At 42.3% G+C, this 15,489-nt stretch overlaps 1 protein-coding gene across 11 annotated transcripts in view, besides 3 other annotated features; it reads right to left on the reverse strand.

The window, feature by feature from the left end:
- Positions 1-8,636, reverse strand: part of ATRX (ATRX chromatin remodeler) — a 281,337-nt gene extending 272,701 nt beyond the window's left edge. For all 11 annotated transcript variants that reach the window (XM_005262156.5, XM_005262157.6, XM_006724666.5 and 8 more), the window contains exon 1: positions 8,402-8,636. Coding sequence is in view for 10 of the 11 variants with exons in the window: in XM_005262157.6 (XP_005262214.2) it covers positions 8,402-8,421 (20 nt within the window). In the remaining variant the exon portion in view is untranslated. The remainder of the gene's footprint in view (positions 1-8,401) is intronic.
- Positions 8,250-8,299: a silencer, noted in NCBI's record as "silent region_20908". NCBI's record gives its function as "represses an Ori minimal core promoter by ATAC-STARR-seq in GM12878 lymphoblastoid cells {active_cell/tissue: GM12878}" and the evidence as "EXISTENCE:reporter gene assay evidence [ECO:0000049][PMID:35858748]".
- Positions 8,400-8,509: an enhancer, noted in NCBI's record as "active region_29779". NCBI's record gives its function as "activates an Ori minimal core promoter by ATAC-STARR-seq in GM12878 lymphoblastoid cells {active_cell/tissue: GM12878}" and the evidence as "EXISTENCE:reporter gene assay evidence [ECO:0000049][PMID:35858748]".
- Positions 8,520-8,709: an enhancer, noted in NCBI's record as "active region_29780". NCBI's record gives its function as "activates an Ori minimal core promoter by ATAC-STARR-seq in GM12878 lymphoblastoid cells {active_cell/tissue: GM12878}" and the evidence as "EXISTENCE:reporter gene assay evidence [ECO:0000049][PMID:35858748]".

Here is a 15,489-nt window from a genome sequence, read left to right on the forward strand (position 1 = left end):
TTCAAAACAAGCATTATAGCAAAACTAAATCTGGAATGCTATCAAATAAACCAAAAAATAACTAATATAATCCAAATAAGCAAAATAACAAATCCAGTATTACTCAGAAATAATTTTTTATCTTAGATTCTATAAGTCAAATGTTACCCACCCAAAAGTCAACTGAGCACTTCAAATGAGCAAAATGAAGACAACTAAGGATGCATTTTTATCACAGTGATTCAAAATCTGTGCATTAAATCCTACACAATCTTATTTAAAAGTAGGTAATACTGGCCAGGCGCGGTGGCTCATGCCTGTAATCCCAGCACTTTGGGAGGCCGAGGTGGGCAGATCACGAGGTCTAGGAGTTCGAGACCAGCCTGGCCAATATGGTGACACCCCGTCTCTACTAAAAATACAAAAACTAGCCAGGCATGGTGGCTCACACCTGTAGTCCCAGCTACTCGGAGGCTGAGGCAGAAGAATCGCTTGAACCCAGGAGGTGGAGGTTGCAGTAAGCTGAGATGGTGCCACTGAGCCCGGGTGACAGAGTGAGACTCTGTCTCAAAAAAAAAAAAAAAAGTAGATAATACTTTTGACAATTCTGAACTAAAATTATCAGGCCCATTCACAAAGGCACATGTACCTTTTACAAGATCATCAAGCCACAAAAGCTACCATACAAAATGCACAATAGTAGCTGGGCATAGTGGCACATGCCTGTGGTCCCAGCTACTCAGGAGGCTCAGGTGGGAGGATCACTTGAGCCCGGGAGTTCTAGGATGCAGTAAGCTATGAGCTATGATCACCCCACTGCACTCCAGGCTGGGTGACAGAGGAAGTCCCTGTCTCTTAAAAAAAAAAAAAAAAGCACAATAGGCAGGGCGCGGTGGCTCACGCCTGTAATCCCAGCACTTTGGGAGGCCAAGGCGGGCGGATCATGAGGTCAGGAGATCAAGACCATCCTGGCCAACACGGTGAAATCCCATCTCTACTAAAAATACAAAAATTAGCTAGGCATGGTGGCACACGCCTGTAGTCCAAGCTACTCGGGAAGCTGAGGCAGGAGAATCGCTTGAACCCGGGAAGCGGAGGTTGCAGTGAGCCAAGATCATGCCACTGCACTCCAGCCTGGGTGACAGAGCGAGACTACGTCTCAAAAAAAAAAAAAAAGGCACAATAGTTATACAGTATTTGTCCAGAAATTAAGTTTAAAATTCGATGTTGACCTTCTTCCAAATAGAAAATGCTAATATACACAACATTCCTTTGCTCAAGCTGCTACTCCTCACATCTGGAATTCTCCCACAGTCTCCTTTGTCAAAACTGTACCTATATTCCAAGGACTAGATTCAAATGCTATCTCTCTTTTTTCTTTTTTTTGAAACGGAGTCTCGCTCTGTTGCCCAGACTAGAGTGCAGTGGCGCGATCTCGGCCCACTGCAAGCTCCGCCTCCCAGGTTCACGAAGTTCTCCTGCCTCAACTTCCCGAGCAGCTGGCACTACAGGCGCCCGCCACCATGCCCGGATTTTTTTTTTTTTTTTTTTTTTTTTGTATTTTTAGTAGAGACGGGTTTTCACCATGTTAGCCAGGATGGTCTCGATCTCCTGACCTCGTGATCCACCCGCCTCAGCCTCCCAAAGTGCTAGGATTACAGGTGTGAGCCACGGCGCCCGGCTCAAATGCTATCTCTCTATAAAGCTTTCCTTGGTCCCCACCAGAAATGTCTTTCTACTTTGAACTCACACAACAACTTACTTTTACTTCATGCAGCATTTATCACTTTATATCTTGCACCAAAACTAATCGTGTACATGTCTTATTTCCTCTGATATATGGAAAATAAGACTAATCTTTAACCATACTAATAGCTGTCTGGACTGCCCTCTCACAGTCAACCCTTAACTGCTAACTCATTCAAGACTCAATACAGTTAACATCTCCTTTGCAAAACTTTCCTAGACATCCCCCAAATTAGGCTTTCTTTCATTTCTGATCCCTAGCGCAATCAATATATTTCCATATTTTAGCACTGCTTTCTAATTGCTCATTTACTTACCAATCTCCCTCACTTGACTAAGAATGCCTTAAGATGGCAGGAATTTTATTACCTTTGGCATAACCCTAACACAGTGCCATGCCTGGCCCCAAATTGATACTTAAGTATTTGATCAACTAATAAAGCATTCCCCCAAAATATGGAGTGCAGGATATATACATGTGAATACTACTGCCAGAACAATAATTTCTTAACAAATATTGTATGGGACAGTTAACAAGAGTGCTGGACTACAGATACAGGAAATGGCTACTTCAAGCTAAAACTGAGAGACAAAGTTTCAGAGACAGGATCTGAAAATAGCAGCTACAGTGCAAAATTCAAAGACTTCCCAGCGCAAAAAGAACAACCGGCTAGAACTAACATAGGTATTTTCAGACGTACATCTTCAATCATAAAAGGGCAGAAATATACTGGATATAGCAATCTTTCAAAATAGAACATATCCTAAGCCACAATAATTACCAAACTTTCCAACAAAAATGTTTTTTCCTTTCCAATAAATGTTTATACAACCAGGTATACATGATACTATGACAAGTATCAGCAACAAAACACCTGTAACCTAACCATGTAAGTTTTAAGGCAAAAAGATATAAATACACTGAATAAAGAAACTTTATCTCACCACTACCCTTCTCCCTAACCCACAAAAGGCAGATAAGAGAAAATGATAAACACTCATATAAGCAGAATTTTTTGCTTATTTGTTTTTGTTTTTGTTTTTGAGACAGACTCTCACCCTGTCGCCCAGGCTGCAGTGGCGCAATCTCAGCTCACTGCAACCTCCGCCTCCTGGGTTCAAGCAATTCTCTGTCTCAGCCTCCCTAGTAGCTGAGATTACAGGTGCCCACCACCACACCGAGATGATTTTTTTTTGTATTTTTAGTAGAGATGGGGTTTCACCATCTTGGCCAGGCTGGTCTTGAACTCCTGACCTCATGATCCACCTGCCTCGGCCTCCCAAAGTGCTGGGATTACAGGCGTGAGCCACTGCACGTGGCCTGTAAGCAGAATTTTTTAAAAACTAACTTTAGGCAGGGTATGGTGGTTTACACCTGTAATCCCAGCACTTTGGGAGGCCAAGGCAGGAGGATCGCTTAAGTCCAGGAGTTCAAGACCAGACTGGGCAACAAAGTGAGACCACTGTTTCTACAAAAAAATCAAAAAATTAGCGGGGCATGATGACACACCTGTGGTCCCAGCTACATGGGAGGCTGAAGCAGGAGGATTGCTTGAGCCAGGAGGTCAAGGCTACAGTGAGCCATGTTCAGTGTCACTGCACTACAGCTTGGGTGACAGTGAGACCTTGTCCCAAAAAAAAATTAATGCTACAGACCATCTAGTCTTGTTCGTTCTGCAAATGACAAAGCAGAAGCCTGGAACAGATAAATGATTTGTCCACAGTCATACAATCAAGCAACAGAGCTATAACTGAAAAACCAAGGCTTGGCTCACAGTTCAGTGTTCATTCCTCTATACAAGCAGTTCTCAAACCATTTAGTCGCAGCACCTCTTTTCACTCTTAAAAATTAACAGCCGGGCGCGGTGGCTCACACCTGTAATCCTAGCACTTTGGAGGCCGAAGCGGGTGGAAATCACGAGGTCAGGAGATCGAGACCATCCTGGCCAACACGGTGAAACCCTGTCTGTACTAAAAATACAAACAATTAGCCGCACATGGTGGCAGGTGCCTGTAGTCCCGGCTACTCGGGAGGCTGAGGCAGGAGAATGGCGTGAACCCGGAGGGCGGAGTTTGCAGTGACCTGAGATCGTGCCACTGTACTCCAGCCTGGGCAACATAGTGAGACTCTGTCTCAAAAAAAAAAAAAAAAAAAAAAAACTAGGACCCCAGAGCTTTAGTTTCTCTTTTAAGAACCATTGTTACAAACATGTTACCTCCTTCAGAATACCTTTAGACTTTATCAATATCTATTATTGATAAATATTGATATTTACTCCCATTTGAGCTTATTCCCATTTTACAGATGGAAAAATAGAAGTTAAACATCTTGCATGTCAGCTTCCAAGCTGATCATAAGACAAGCATTAGGATAAAATTAGAGACAGACTGCTTAGACCCTCCTTTCACTGCCCTGTTATATTCAACATTTCTAAAGGAAGATCTATGCATCAGTTTTCACTGGCTTCAACTATTTAAATAGTTTCTGATATCCAAAAGAACATTCACGGTCTGGGGGAAAGCACTTCATGTAAATTCAAGAATTGCCCGTATCCTATTACCCAACCCATAAGTTTATTCAGACCCCAAAAGTGAAAAAGACACATACAATTACTTATGAAACAATTATTTCACACACCTACATCAATACTTAAATATTATTTTAAGTACTACATTTATCTTATCTCTAGAAATACAATACATAACTGAAAGCTCAAGGCCAACTATGCCAAGGGTGGCCAATAATAAAACTGGGCCTGATAAAAATTAAGGTCACAAATGTCTTTCTTTTCACCCCAACCCATTACATAACCAAGCCATTGATATTTAAATGCTTTTTAAAAACCTTTATAAAATTTGCATCTCCTCCCCCTCCAAGGGCCTGGTTTCATGCTTTTCATAGTGGAAATGCAAGTATTTCACAGATAACATTTTTCAACAATTAGGTTACAATGTAACTGCTTGTAAACTACCACCTTAACAGATACTTTCTAAGACATTCAAAATCTCTCAATTTAGACAACTTCTGCCTTTTTATATTTAAGATCAATAACAAGGTAATATAGCTGTCAGCTTTTCAAGTAATCAATTGCCATAAGGATTAGAATGACAAATTTCACCAAATCTCCCAATACTGAAATCTTTATATGCAAATAAATTAAGGCCAAGCGCAGTGGCTCACACCTGTAATCCCAGCACTTTGGGAGGCAGAGGCGGGCAGATCACCTGAGGTCAGGAGTTTGAGACCAGCCTGGCTGGCCAACATGGTGAAACCCCGTCTCTACTAAAAATACAAAAATTGGCCAGGTGTGGTGGCACTTGCCTGTAATCCCAGCTACTTGGGAGGCTGAGGCAGGAGAATCGCTTGAACCCAGGAGGCAAAGGTTGTAGTGAGCCAAGATGGTGCCATTGCACTCCAGCCTGGGCAACAGAGTGAGACTCCATCTCAAAAAAAATAAAAATAAAGAAAACAAATTAAAGTTCATCAGTCATGAAGCCTCCATTCCAGGCCCTAGCTCCAGGATGACAATTCTAGACACATCCTGGGCCAGAAGGGAATCTGCTGCCCTGAAGGGAAGGTCCCAGTCCTAGCAGCATACATCACCTGATAACTGAAGAGCCCTTGGGCCCTGAATAACCAGCAGAGAGCCAGGCGCGGTGGATCACACCTGTAATCCCAGCACTTTGGGAGGCCAAGGCAGGTAGATCACTTGAGTCCAGGAGTTCAGGACCAGCCTAGCCAATATGGTGAAACTCCCTCTCTACTAAAAATACAAAAATTAGCCAGGCGTGGTGGCACACACCTGTTAATCCCAGTTACTTGGGAGGCTGAGGCATGAGAATCACTTGAACCTGGGAGGCGGAGGCGGCAGTAAGCCAAGATCACGCCCCTTCACTCCAGCCTGGGCAACAAAGTGAGACTCTGTCTCAAAAAAATAAATTTAAAAATTAAAAAATAATCAGCAGTGACACCCAGGTACCCAAGTACTACATTGAGAGCTTGGTGATTATAAAAGACCTTATCTTTTATAATGCCAGAAGCAAGTCAATCTTATTTCAAACAACACAAACAACCAAAAAAATCCTTTAAAAACAACAAAACCTTTAAAGACTGAGCCACTGATTAGTCAGTGTATGTTTTAGCCAGGTCATCGGTTTATTTTCCTTCCTCTTGTCTTCTGGCCATTTTTCCACCACAGAATCCTAGAATATTACTTTTTTTTATAAACACAAGTAAAAATTAGAACTAGTCTTTGTTCCTGCTTTTTAAGTGCTTGACAAAATATTTGATAAAGAGAAAATCTGGAACTACTGTGTAAAATAATATTAACAATAATGCTTATATTATTTCTGCCTCACATTAGAAAAGACTCAAGAGGGATTTGGTACTGTGGGTTCAACTCAAGCATTACCTGTCAGATTCTCCTTTAACCATGATTATGGTTTAGGAGATCGATGACACTTCAGCCTGAGACAGTTCTGAACACCTACTTGGAGCTCTTTCATAGTAAATCATCAGGGAGTGTCACACTTTTTAATTAATTCCCTACATGCATATATGCAGTTCTTTACTAGAGGTTTTTCATGTAGCTTAAGACTCTCCTAGCATTAAATATTTCAGTTATCTCACTACATAGTACACCTGGACACAAAAAATGTAACATTATAAACAGCTACAAAATCATAGACCTGCAACAAATCAGAGTAGGTAATATGAACTTCTTTCATTGTAACACTTGGGCTAAATTTAAATGGTCATAATCAGGTTAGACCTGGCAGCTGAAGGGGGCATTAATGCCTTGTGGTTAAGAACATAAGCTGTGAAGTCAAGATGGGGTTCAATTCCAGCTCCACCAATTACAAGCTGTATAACTTCGGTCAAGTTCTTGATCTATGTCTCACTTTCCTCCTCATCGGTAAAATGGGCAAAACCAAGTACTTACCTCACAGGTTTGAGAATTCATCAAGATTATAAAGAACGACAATAAGCACTCAACTTAGTTATGATTATTACTCTTATCATCAAGATCTACAAAAATCCAAGACTAGTAAGAAAAACTGACCCTTGTGTAAAATTAATTATTCTATTCAGAAATTCTATATACGTAATTTGTTCATTCTAAAGAAACTGAGAAGATCCGACTTCAAACTATAGTTTCAAATGTAGACTTTGTGAAACTTAGTAAAATCTAGAGGTCATAATTTAACTGTAAGGTACACCATCCATGCATATGAACATGAGTGCCTGGTAATTACAGGCCAACAAGTTATACTGGGTACCACTTACGTGCCTAATACCCCACAGATAAAGATTTGTTGTATTTGAGCCTACTGACAAATTCAGAAACCAAGGCCACAATCGTGTACACAACTAGAGATCTACAATCTAAGAACTGAAGCATATCTTTCCCCAAGGTAAAGAAAATATAATCTACTGCTTGTTCATGCAGAAATACAGACATACGTATCATAGGCTCATTGCCCAATTCTACATTCTAGCTAAATTGCTCTAAAAACATATGCCAATCTAAGAGTTACTCAAAGGCACATTTCGCCAACTTGAAATGCAATTCTGACCCATGCTCCTTGTAATTTTATTTTGCCACTGGACGCCAAGGATGCATCTCCGAGTAAAAAAATTACTTAATTCACATTGTGGGATGAAAATTCAAATGTCAAACTGAAACGCCAGCCAGCCACCTGGGTAAAAGTGTATACATTTCATATTGACTACCCAAATTTTCAGACCCGTCAAGAGGCAAATCAGAAGCACACAGAAAAACAGCTTCAACCTAATAAACGTGCTTGATTGGTTAAGAGGAGGCCTGCCAGGCATTTTCCCTTGCAATAAATCTTACTTCGCATCAGCCCACGTTAACCTGCCCTTCATCCTTCATGGAATAAATAAGTAAATAAAGATAGGGCCTAATTACTCCTCGAAATTTGCCCAGAAAGTGGGGAAACACTTGAGGTCCCATTAAGGCTGGACATCACAAAAAGTAGTATACTAGGGTCCTCTGGAAGCAAAACCCTGTGTTAAGTCCCCCCTCGCCTAGAAATAAACCCAAGGATATCCTTCAGGATATGGAGTAGAAAAGATACCTAAATACCTGGAACTGCACCACAACCCAATCAAAAAAAGGCTTGTCTCCTGGGGCTGCAGAAAAAAAATCCCGCAGGGCCCGGGTGCTTCCCATCTCCAGCAACCTAAACGCCTCTAAGTCGTCCTGGGATCTCACATCCTCGCGCCCGCCCACCCCTCCCCCTCTTCTCACCCTCCCCCCGCTTCTTCCCCACGCAGTTTCTAGGCCCAAAGATTAGCAAAAATGACCGGGATACCAAAGACCGCCTCCGACTTCGAGGTCTCAATCCCACAGGCACCAAAGAATAAACAGAGGAGCCCGACCAAGCGTCACCGTTTAGGGGAGATTGCAAGAAGCGCCCCATACCCTAGGCCGCGCCCCCCCCACCTCCCCCCACCCCATCCCCACCCCCACCCCCGTCGGAGCCTTGCGCCGATACCCCGAAACCCTTCTCACCTAAAGAGAAAACGATGCCTCTTTCGGCTAAGCAACACACAGGCCTAACCCACCAAGCGAACGCCTTCCCAAACACCCGACTCAGACGGTGCCTGGGCCCAGACCGCTGGGGCCCATGAGACGGGGTTGCGTTTTACCTCATGGGCTCAGCGGTCATGTTTTCGCTTGAACGCCTTGTCGGCTTCTGTGATTGCTGGGCGCCGATCTGCGCTCCCCCGCGCCCGGTTACGATAGAAATGCACTGGAGTCTTAGTCGTCACTGTAGCTGCTGCTGGAACCTCCCCACAGCTCAAAGGCCGCTACCACTGCCACCGCCGCAGGAGCCGCGGAAACAAAGCGACACCGCTGCCGCCGCCATTTTGTTGGGCCGAGGCTCAGGCAGGAGAATTGGCGCGTCCTCCCTCTTTCTCTTTCCGTCAGCCATTGGCTACCTCCTCCAAAGCACAGAGTCTTATTGGCTACGGAAATTCACCTTCTTTGGGGGCCTGTTGCTAAGGCGGTCGACGTCATTTGATCCCCTCCACCTTTTCGCAGGGGGTCCAATTTAGTCCCAATTGACCTGAAAGTGCTAGTGACATAGTTTGACTTTATTTTGAAAATGCTCTTTTGGTCCAACCTCTTTTTTCTTTGACATATTAACGAAGTAATAACAGCAACCTACATTTATTGAGAGTTTACTATATGCTCGGCACTACACTAATCCTTTATCCGGGTTATCTCATTTAATCTTTACACTCTCTGAGGTAGACAAACCTACATTTTCCAGATGAGGAAACCAAGACACAAAGTCCCACAGTAGTGGAGCCGAGATTCACCAGACACTCTTAACCACTAATCTGTATGGCCATCCTATGTAAGTATTTTCTTTCCTATATGCTAGGCTATCATCAAGTTATTTGCTTTCCTAGATGTTTTATACATAATATTTGGCACACCAACATGCTTGGAAATGTATATGTGTATAATATACTTATATATATGTATATGTGTGCAGACGACATAAGACCAACTTGAACGCTGCATAAAATTCTTTCCATATTGAATAAAGTGTCTCTTAGAATACACACACACACACACACACACACACACACACACACACACACACGGGCCATTTCCCCAATTTGATGTGATGTTTAGCTCACAAACCAATCAATTTAGATCTGCTTCCTTCTCATTACAGAGGAAGCTTGGCTGGATGATCTGTAAATGCCTTTCCCGCTTTTATGATCTATAATTTGATTTTACATTGGTAATCTCTGCTAATCACAAACAAGTCCTCTAAAATCTAATCGCTTCGAAATTTATTTCCAAATTTATTCTGCCATGCATGCTTTAGTTCATTCTATTTATTTTTCTTGAAATATGCAAGAGCTCCTGTCGGGGTTAGGTGACAGGGTTGCTGCTTTCTACTGGGATAGCAAGAGGGGAGCCTTTTTTGAATGAAACACTTTGAAAATCTGATAGGCTCAGGCAACTTTTTTTTTTTTTTTTTCTGAGACAGGGTCTAGCTCTGTCACCCAGGCTGGAGTGCAGTGGCGTGACGCAGTTCACTGCAGCCTCGACCTCCTAGGCTCAAGCAATCCTCCCACCTCAGCCTCTCAAGCAGCTGGGACTGCAGGCGCGTGCCATCAAGCCCAGCTAATTATGTATTTATGTATTGGTATAGATGAGGTAGGTCTGTCTGTTGCCCAGGCTGGTCTCAAACATCTAAGCTCAAGCCATCCTCCAACCTCGACCTCCCAAAGTGCTGGAGTTACAGGGGTGAGCCACCGCGCCTGGCCTCAGGCAACTTTTTAATCAACAGACGCCTGTACACATTGCAATTATATCTTTCAAATGTTTGAGTTCAGTTGGCAATTATAGAAACCAGACCTCTGTACCTGCTATACTGATTTTGTCTTGTACACATTAAATATCATTTCAACATACAATTTACAGGAGTCATTTTTTTCTCCTTGGTAAATGCAGTGAATTTGAATGATGTACTCCATCACAAGGCAGCACAGAAATGTGCTTGCTGTTCAACTGACTTCACTATGAGAAAAATAGTAAATAGTCAACATGTTACCAGGTTATTGGCGTTTCGAACAAGGAATTGGACAAAATGCACAAAGCAAGGAAAGAATGAAGCAACAAAAGCAGAGACACGTTGAAAATGAAAGTACACTCCACAAGACTGCAGGAGCTGCCAGAGCACAGGGGCTCAAGACCCCCATTACAGAATTTTCTGGGATTTAAATACTCTCTAGAGGTTTTCCATTGGTTACTTGGTGTACACCCTATGTAAATAAAGTAGTGGCCCGCAATCAGAGGCTAAAGTGAAGTTACAAGGGTCACACCCTATGCAAGCATCTAATTGGTTGTGGACAGCAACCAATCAGAGGCTAAAGTGAAGTTACAAAGTTACACTGCTATACAAACATCTGCTTTCTGCAACCAATCAGAGATACTTTCAGTTTTCCATCTGCCAAGCGGAAAAGGAAGAGGATTTGCAAAGGGAGTAGTCTTTTTGTTACTTAGGTGTGGAAAGTTGGGGTTTTCCTTTTGATTCAGTTCTAGGAAGTCAACTTTACTCAGCCTTAGGTTCCCTGCCTCCAAACCCTATTCTCCTGCCTCACATTATTTTTAAATGAATTGAAATTATTAAGGTAGAAACTAGCTGTTGCTGAGAGACTTCTCAACACTAAACAGCTTTAAATGACAAGTCTCACAAAAGAAACTTAATAATAAAACTATAATCACAATTTGTTTTTGTTTTGTTTTGTTTTGTTTTGTTTTTGAGATGGAGTCTCGCTCTTGTAGCCCAGGCTGCAGGCTGGAGCGCAGTGGCATGATCTCGGCTCACTGCAACCACTACCTCCCAGGTTCAAGCGATTTTCCTGCCTCAGCCTCCCTAGTAGCTGGGATTACAGGCACCCACCACCACGACTAACTAATTTTCATATTTTTAGTAGAGACGGGGTTTCACCATGTTAGCCAAGCTGGTCTTGAACTCCTGACCTCAGGTAATCCACCCGCCTCGGCCTGCAAAAGTGCTGGGATTACAGCCATGAGCCACCATGCCAAGCAATCATAGATTTTTTAAATTTTAATTTTGTTTTGAGACAGGGCCTCACTTGGCCTCCCAGGCTGGAGCATAATGGCGTGATCATGGGTCACTGCAGCCTCGACCTCCCAAGCTCAAGTGATCCTCCCACCTCAGCCTCCCAAGTAGCTACAACTGCAGGCCTAAGCCACCACAGCCCGGCTAATTTTATCTTTTTGTTTTATTTTTTTAGAGAGTAGGTCTCGATGTTGCCCAGGCTCATGTCTCAAAGTCCAGAGCTCAAACTATCCTCCCACCATAACCTCCCAAAGTGCTTGAATTACAGGCGTGAGCCACCATGCCCAGCAATAATCACAGCATTTTCAAAATGAACAACATTTGTGAATATTGTTGTGAATAACAACTTGTGAATACATTGTGAATAACAACTCACTATATTTGTGAAGCATAAGAGAATACCTGAGCCGAACATGGTGGCTCATGCCTGTAATCTCTTAACTTTGGAAGGCCAAGAAGGGAAGATGGGTTAAATTCAGTAGTTCAAGACCAAACTGGGAAAAATAGTGAGGCTCCCTCTCTAAAAAAAATTTTTTTTTTACTTAAAAAAAAAAGAAAAAGAGGCCAGGCGCGGTGGCTCATGCCTGTAATCCCAGCACTTTGGGTGGCCGAGGCAGGTGGATCACCTGAGGTCAGGAGTTCAAGACCAGCCTGGCCAACATGGTGAAACCCCATCTCTACTAAAAATATAAAAAATTAGCCGGGTGTGGTGGTGGGTGCCTGTAATCCCAGCTACTGGGGAGGCTGAGGCAGGAGAATTGGTTGAACCCAGGAGGCGGAGGTTGCAGTGAACCGAGATTGCACCACTGCACTCCAGCCTGGGCAACAAGAGCAAGACTCCATCTCTCCATCTCAAAAAAAAAAGAAAGAAAGAAAAAGAATTCCTTTGTTAGTAAAGGATGGCCGACAAAGTTTTACTGATATACATATAGGTGTATCGCTTTCAGTGATGATTATCAACGGGTTCCCATCAACTATTTTAGAAGAAGTTTACTGGTACACATCTTCACATTTTTCTTCAAATTGCCACAGAAGGCAACCTAGACCTTTCTCTGACTCTTGACCATAAATGCGTAACTTGTGAATGTGCTTATTTGTTTTGGAAGGGAATAAGAGATACAGTACCTGAAAGAGAGCAAATCAGCTGAGAAAATAGTTACTCCATAATTTTTAATATACAGCTTTGGCTGGGCTCAGTGGCTCAAGCCTGTAATCCCAGCACTTTGGGAGGCCAAAGTGAGTGGATCACTTGAGCTCAGGAGTTCAAGATCAGCCTGGCCAACATGGTGAAAGCCTGTCTCTACCAAAAATACACACACAAAAAAATTAGCTGGGCGTAGTGGTGTGTGCCTGTAATCCCAGCTACTTGGGAGGCTGAGGAGGGAGCATCGCTTGAGCCCAGGAGACAGAGGTTGCAGTGACTTGAGATTATGCCACTGCACTCCAGCCTGGGCAACAGAGTGAGACTCCATCTGAAAATAAATAAATAAATAAGCAAACAAACAGCTTCAAAACCCCTATTTTATGTCAGAATCATAATTCTTGAGCAATATTTATGAAATTTTAAAATACATATATTATTTAACCCAGCAATTTAACTTCTAGGAATTTATCCAACAGATATACTTTACAGGGACAAAATGAGATGTACACAAGATTATTCACTGCGGCATCATTTGTAACATCAAAACACTGGATAGCTGGGCACAGTGGTGTGGGCCTGTAGTTCCAACTACTCAGGAGGCTGAGGTAGGAGGATTGCTTAAGCCCAGAAGTTCAAGGCCATCCTGAGCAACATAGTGAGACCCTATCTCTGAAAAAACAAACAAACAAACAAAAAAAGCCAGCCAGCCATGGCGGCTCACCCCTGTATTCCCAGCACTTTGGGAGGCTGAGGTGGGAGGATTGCTTGACCCCAGTAGGTCAAGACCATCCTGGGTAACACAGTAAGACACAGTCTCTATAAATATATACATATATATATGTGTATATATATATATATATATATATATATATATATGAAACATAGTAAGACACTGTCTCTATATATATATATATATATATATATTAGAAACAACCCAGATGCTCCTTAACAGAAGACTGGTTAAATAAATTATGTTACATCCACACAGGAAATACCATATAGCTCCATAAGTTTTTTTGAAAAGTCAGTTGCATTTCTATGTACTAACAATGACCAATCCAAAAAGGAAATTAAGGCCGGGCATGGTGGCTCACGCCTGTAATCCCAGCACTTTGGGAGGCCGAGGCAGGTGGATCACATGAGGTCAGGAGTTCAAGAGCAGCCTGGCCATCATGGTGAAACCCCATCTCTACTAAAAATACAAAAATTAGCCGGGCGTGGTGGCATGTGCTTGCAGTCCCAGCTACTTGGGAGGCTGAAGCAGGAGAATTGCTTGAACCTGGGAGGCAGAGGTTGCAGTGAGCCAAGATTGTATCACTGCACTCCAGCCTGGGCAATAGAGTAAGACCCTGTCTAAAAAAAAGAAAAAAAAAAGGAAATTAAGAAAACAAAACAATCCCATTTACTATAGTATCAAATAGGATAAAATGTTTAGAATAAACTTAACCAAGGAGGTAAAAGTCTTACACACTAAAAACTCCAAAACATACCTAAAAGAAATAAAAGAAGATACAAATAAATAGAAGGGTATCCCATGCTGATGAATTAGAGGACTTAATGTTGTAAAAATGTCCATACTACTCAAAGGAATCTACAGATTCAATGCAATCCCTATCAAAATCCCAATGGCATTCTTTGCAGAGAAAAACCCATCCTAAAATTTCCGTGGGATCTCAAAGGATGCTGAAAAGCTAAAACAATCTCAAAAAAAAAAAAAACAAAAACAAACAAAAAAAAACAGCAAAGCTGGGGGCCACAAATTTCCTGATTAGTAAACAAGATGGTGTGGTACTGACTTAAAAATAGATATATGGACCAATGAAACAGAATAATAAACCCTTGCATATATGGCCAAATAATTTTCTTCTTCTTCTTCTTTTTTTTTTTTTTTTTTTTTTGCGACAAGGTCTCTCTCCCTGTCTATCACCCAGGCTGGAGTGCAGTGGCACAGTCATGGCTCACTGCAGCCTCCTCCTCCTGGGCTCAAGTGATCCTCCCACCTCAGCCTCTCAAGTAGCTGGGACCACAGGTATGTGCCACCATGCCCGGCTAATCATTGCATTTTTTGTAGAGGTGGGGTTTCACCATGTTGCCTAGGCTGGTCTCGAACTCCTGAGCTCATGTGATCAACCCACCTCAGTCTCTCAAAGTGCTGGGATTACAGGCATGAGCCACTGCACCTGCCCAGGGGCCAAATGATTTTTGACAAGGATTCCAAAACTACACAATGAGAAAGGACAGTTTCTTCAATAAATGGTGTTAGAAGTACTAGATATCCACATGTAAAAGAATGAAGTTGGACCCTTATCTGACACCACATACAAAAATTAACTCAAAGCAGATTAAAAAACTAAACATAAGACATAAAACTATAAAACTCCTGGAAGAAAACATAGACGAAAAGCTTCAGGACATTATATTTGGCAATTATTTCTTGGCTATGACACCAAAAGCACAAGCAACAAAAGCAAAAAAAGGCAAGTGAGGCTACATCAAACTTAAAAACTTATTCACGTAAAAAGAAACTATCAACCGAGTGAAAAGACAACCTATGAAATGAGAGAAAATATTTGTAAGTCGTATATCTGATAATGGGTTAATATTCAGAATATAAAAGGGACTTCTAAAAAAAATTCAAAAATGTGCAAAGGACTTGAATGGACAATTCTCTAAAGAAAATGTAAATTGGCCATTAAGCATATGAAAAGATGCTCAACATCACTAATCATAAAAGAAATGCAAATTAAAACCACAATCAGGCCGGGCGCCGTGGCTCCCGCCTGTAATCCCAGCACTTTGGGAGGCCAAGATGGGCGGATAGCGAGGTCAGGAGATGGAGACCATCCTGGCTAACATGGTGAAACCCCATCTCTACTAAAAATACAAAAAATTAGCCAGGCGTAGTGGCGGGTGCCTGTAGTCCGAGCTACTCTGGAGAGGCAGGAGAATGGTGTGAACCCGGGGGAGGCGGAGCTTGC

Source organism: Homo sapiens, chromosome X (genome assembly GCF_000001405.40).
Source record: "Homo sapiens chromosome X, GRCh38.p14 Primary Assembly".
Lineage (NCBI taxonomy): Eukaryota > Metazoa > Chordata > Mammalia > Primates > Hominidae > Homo > Homo sapiens.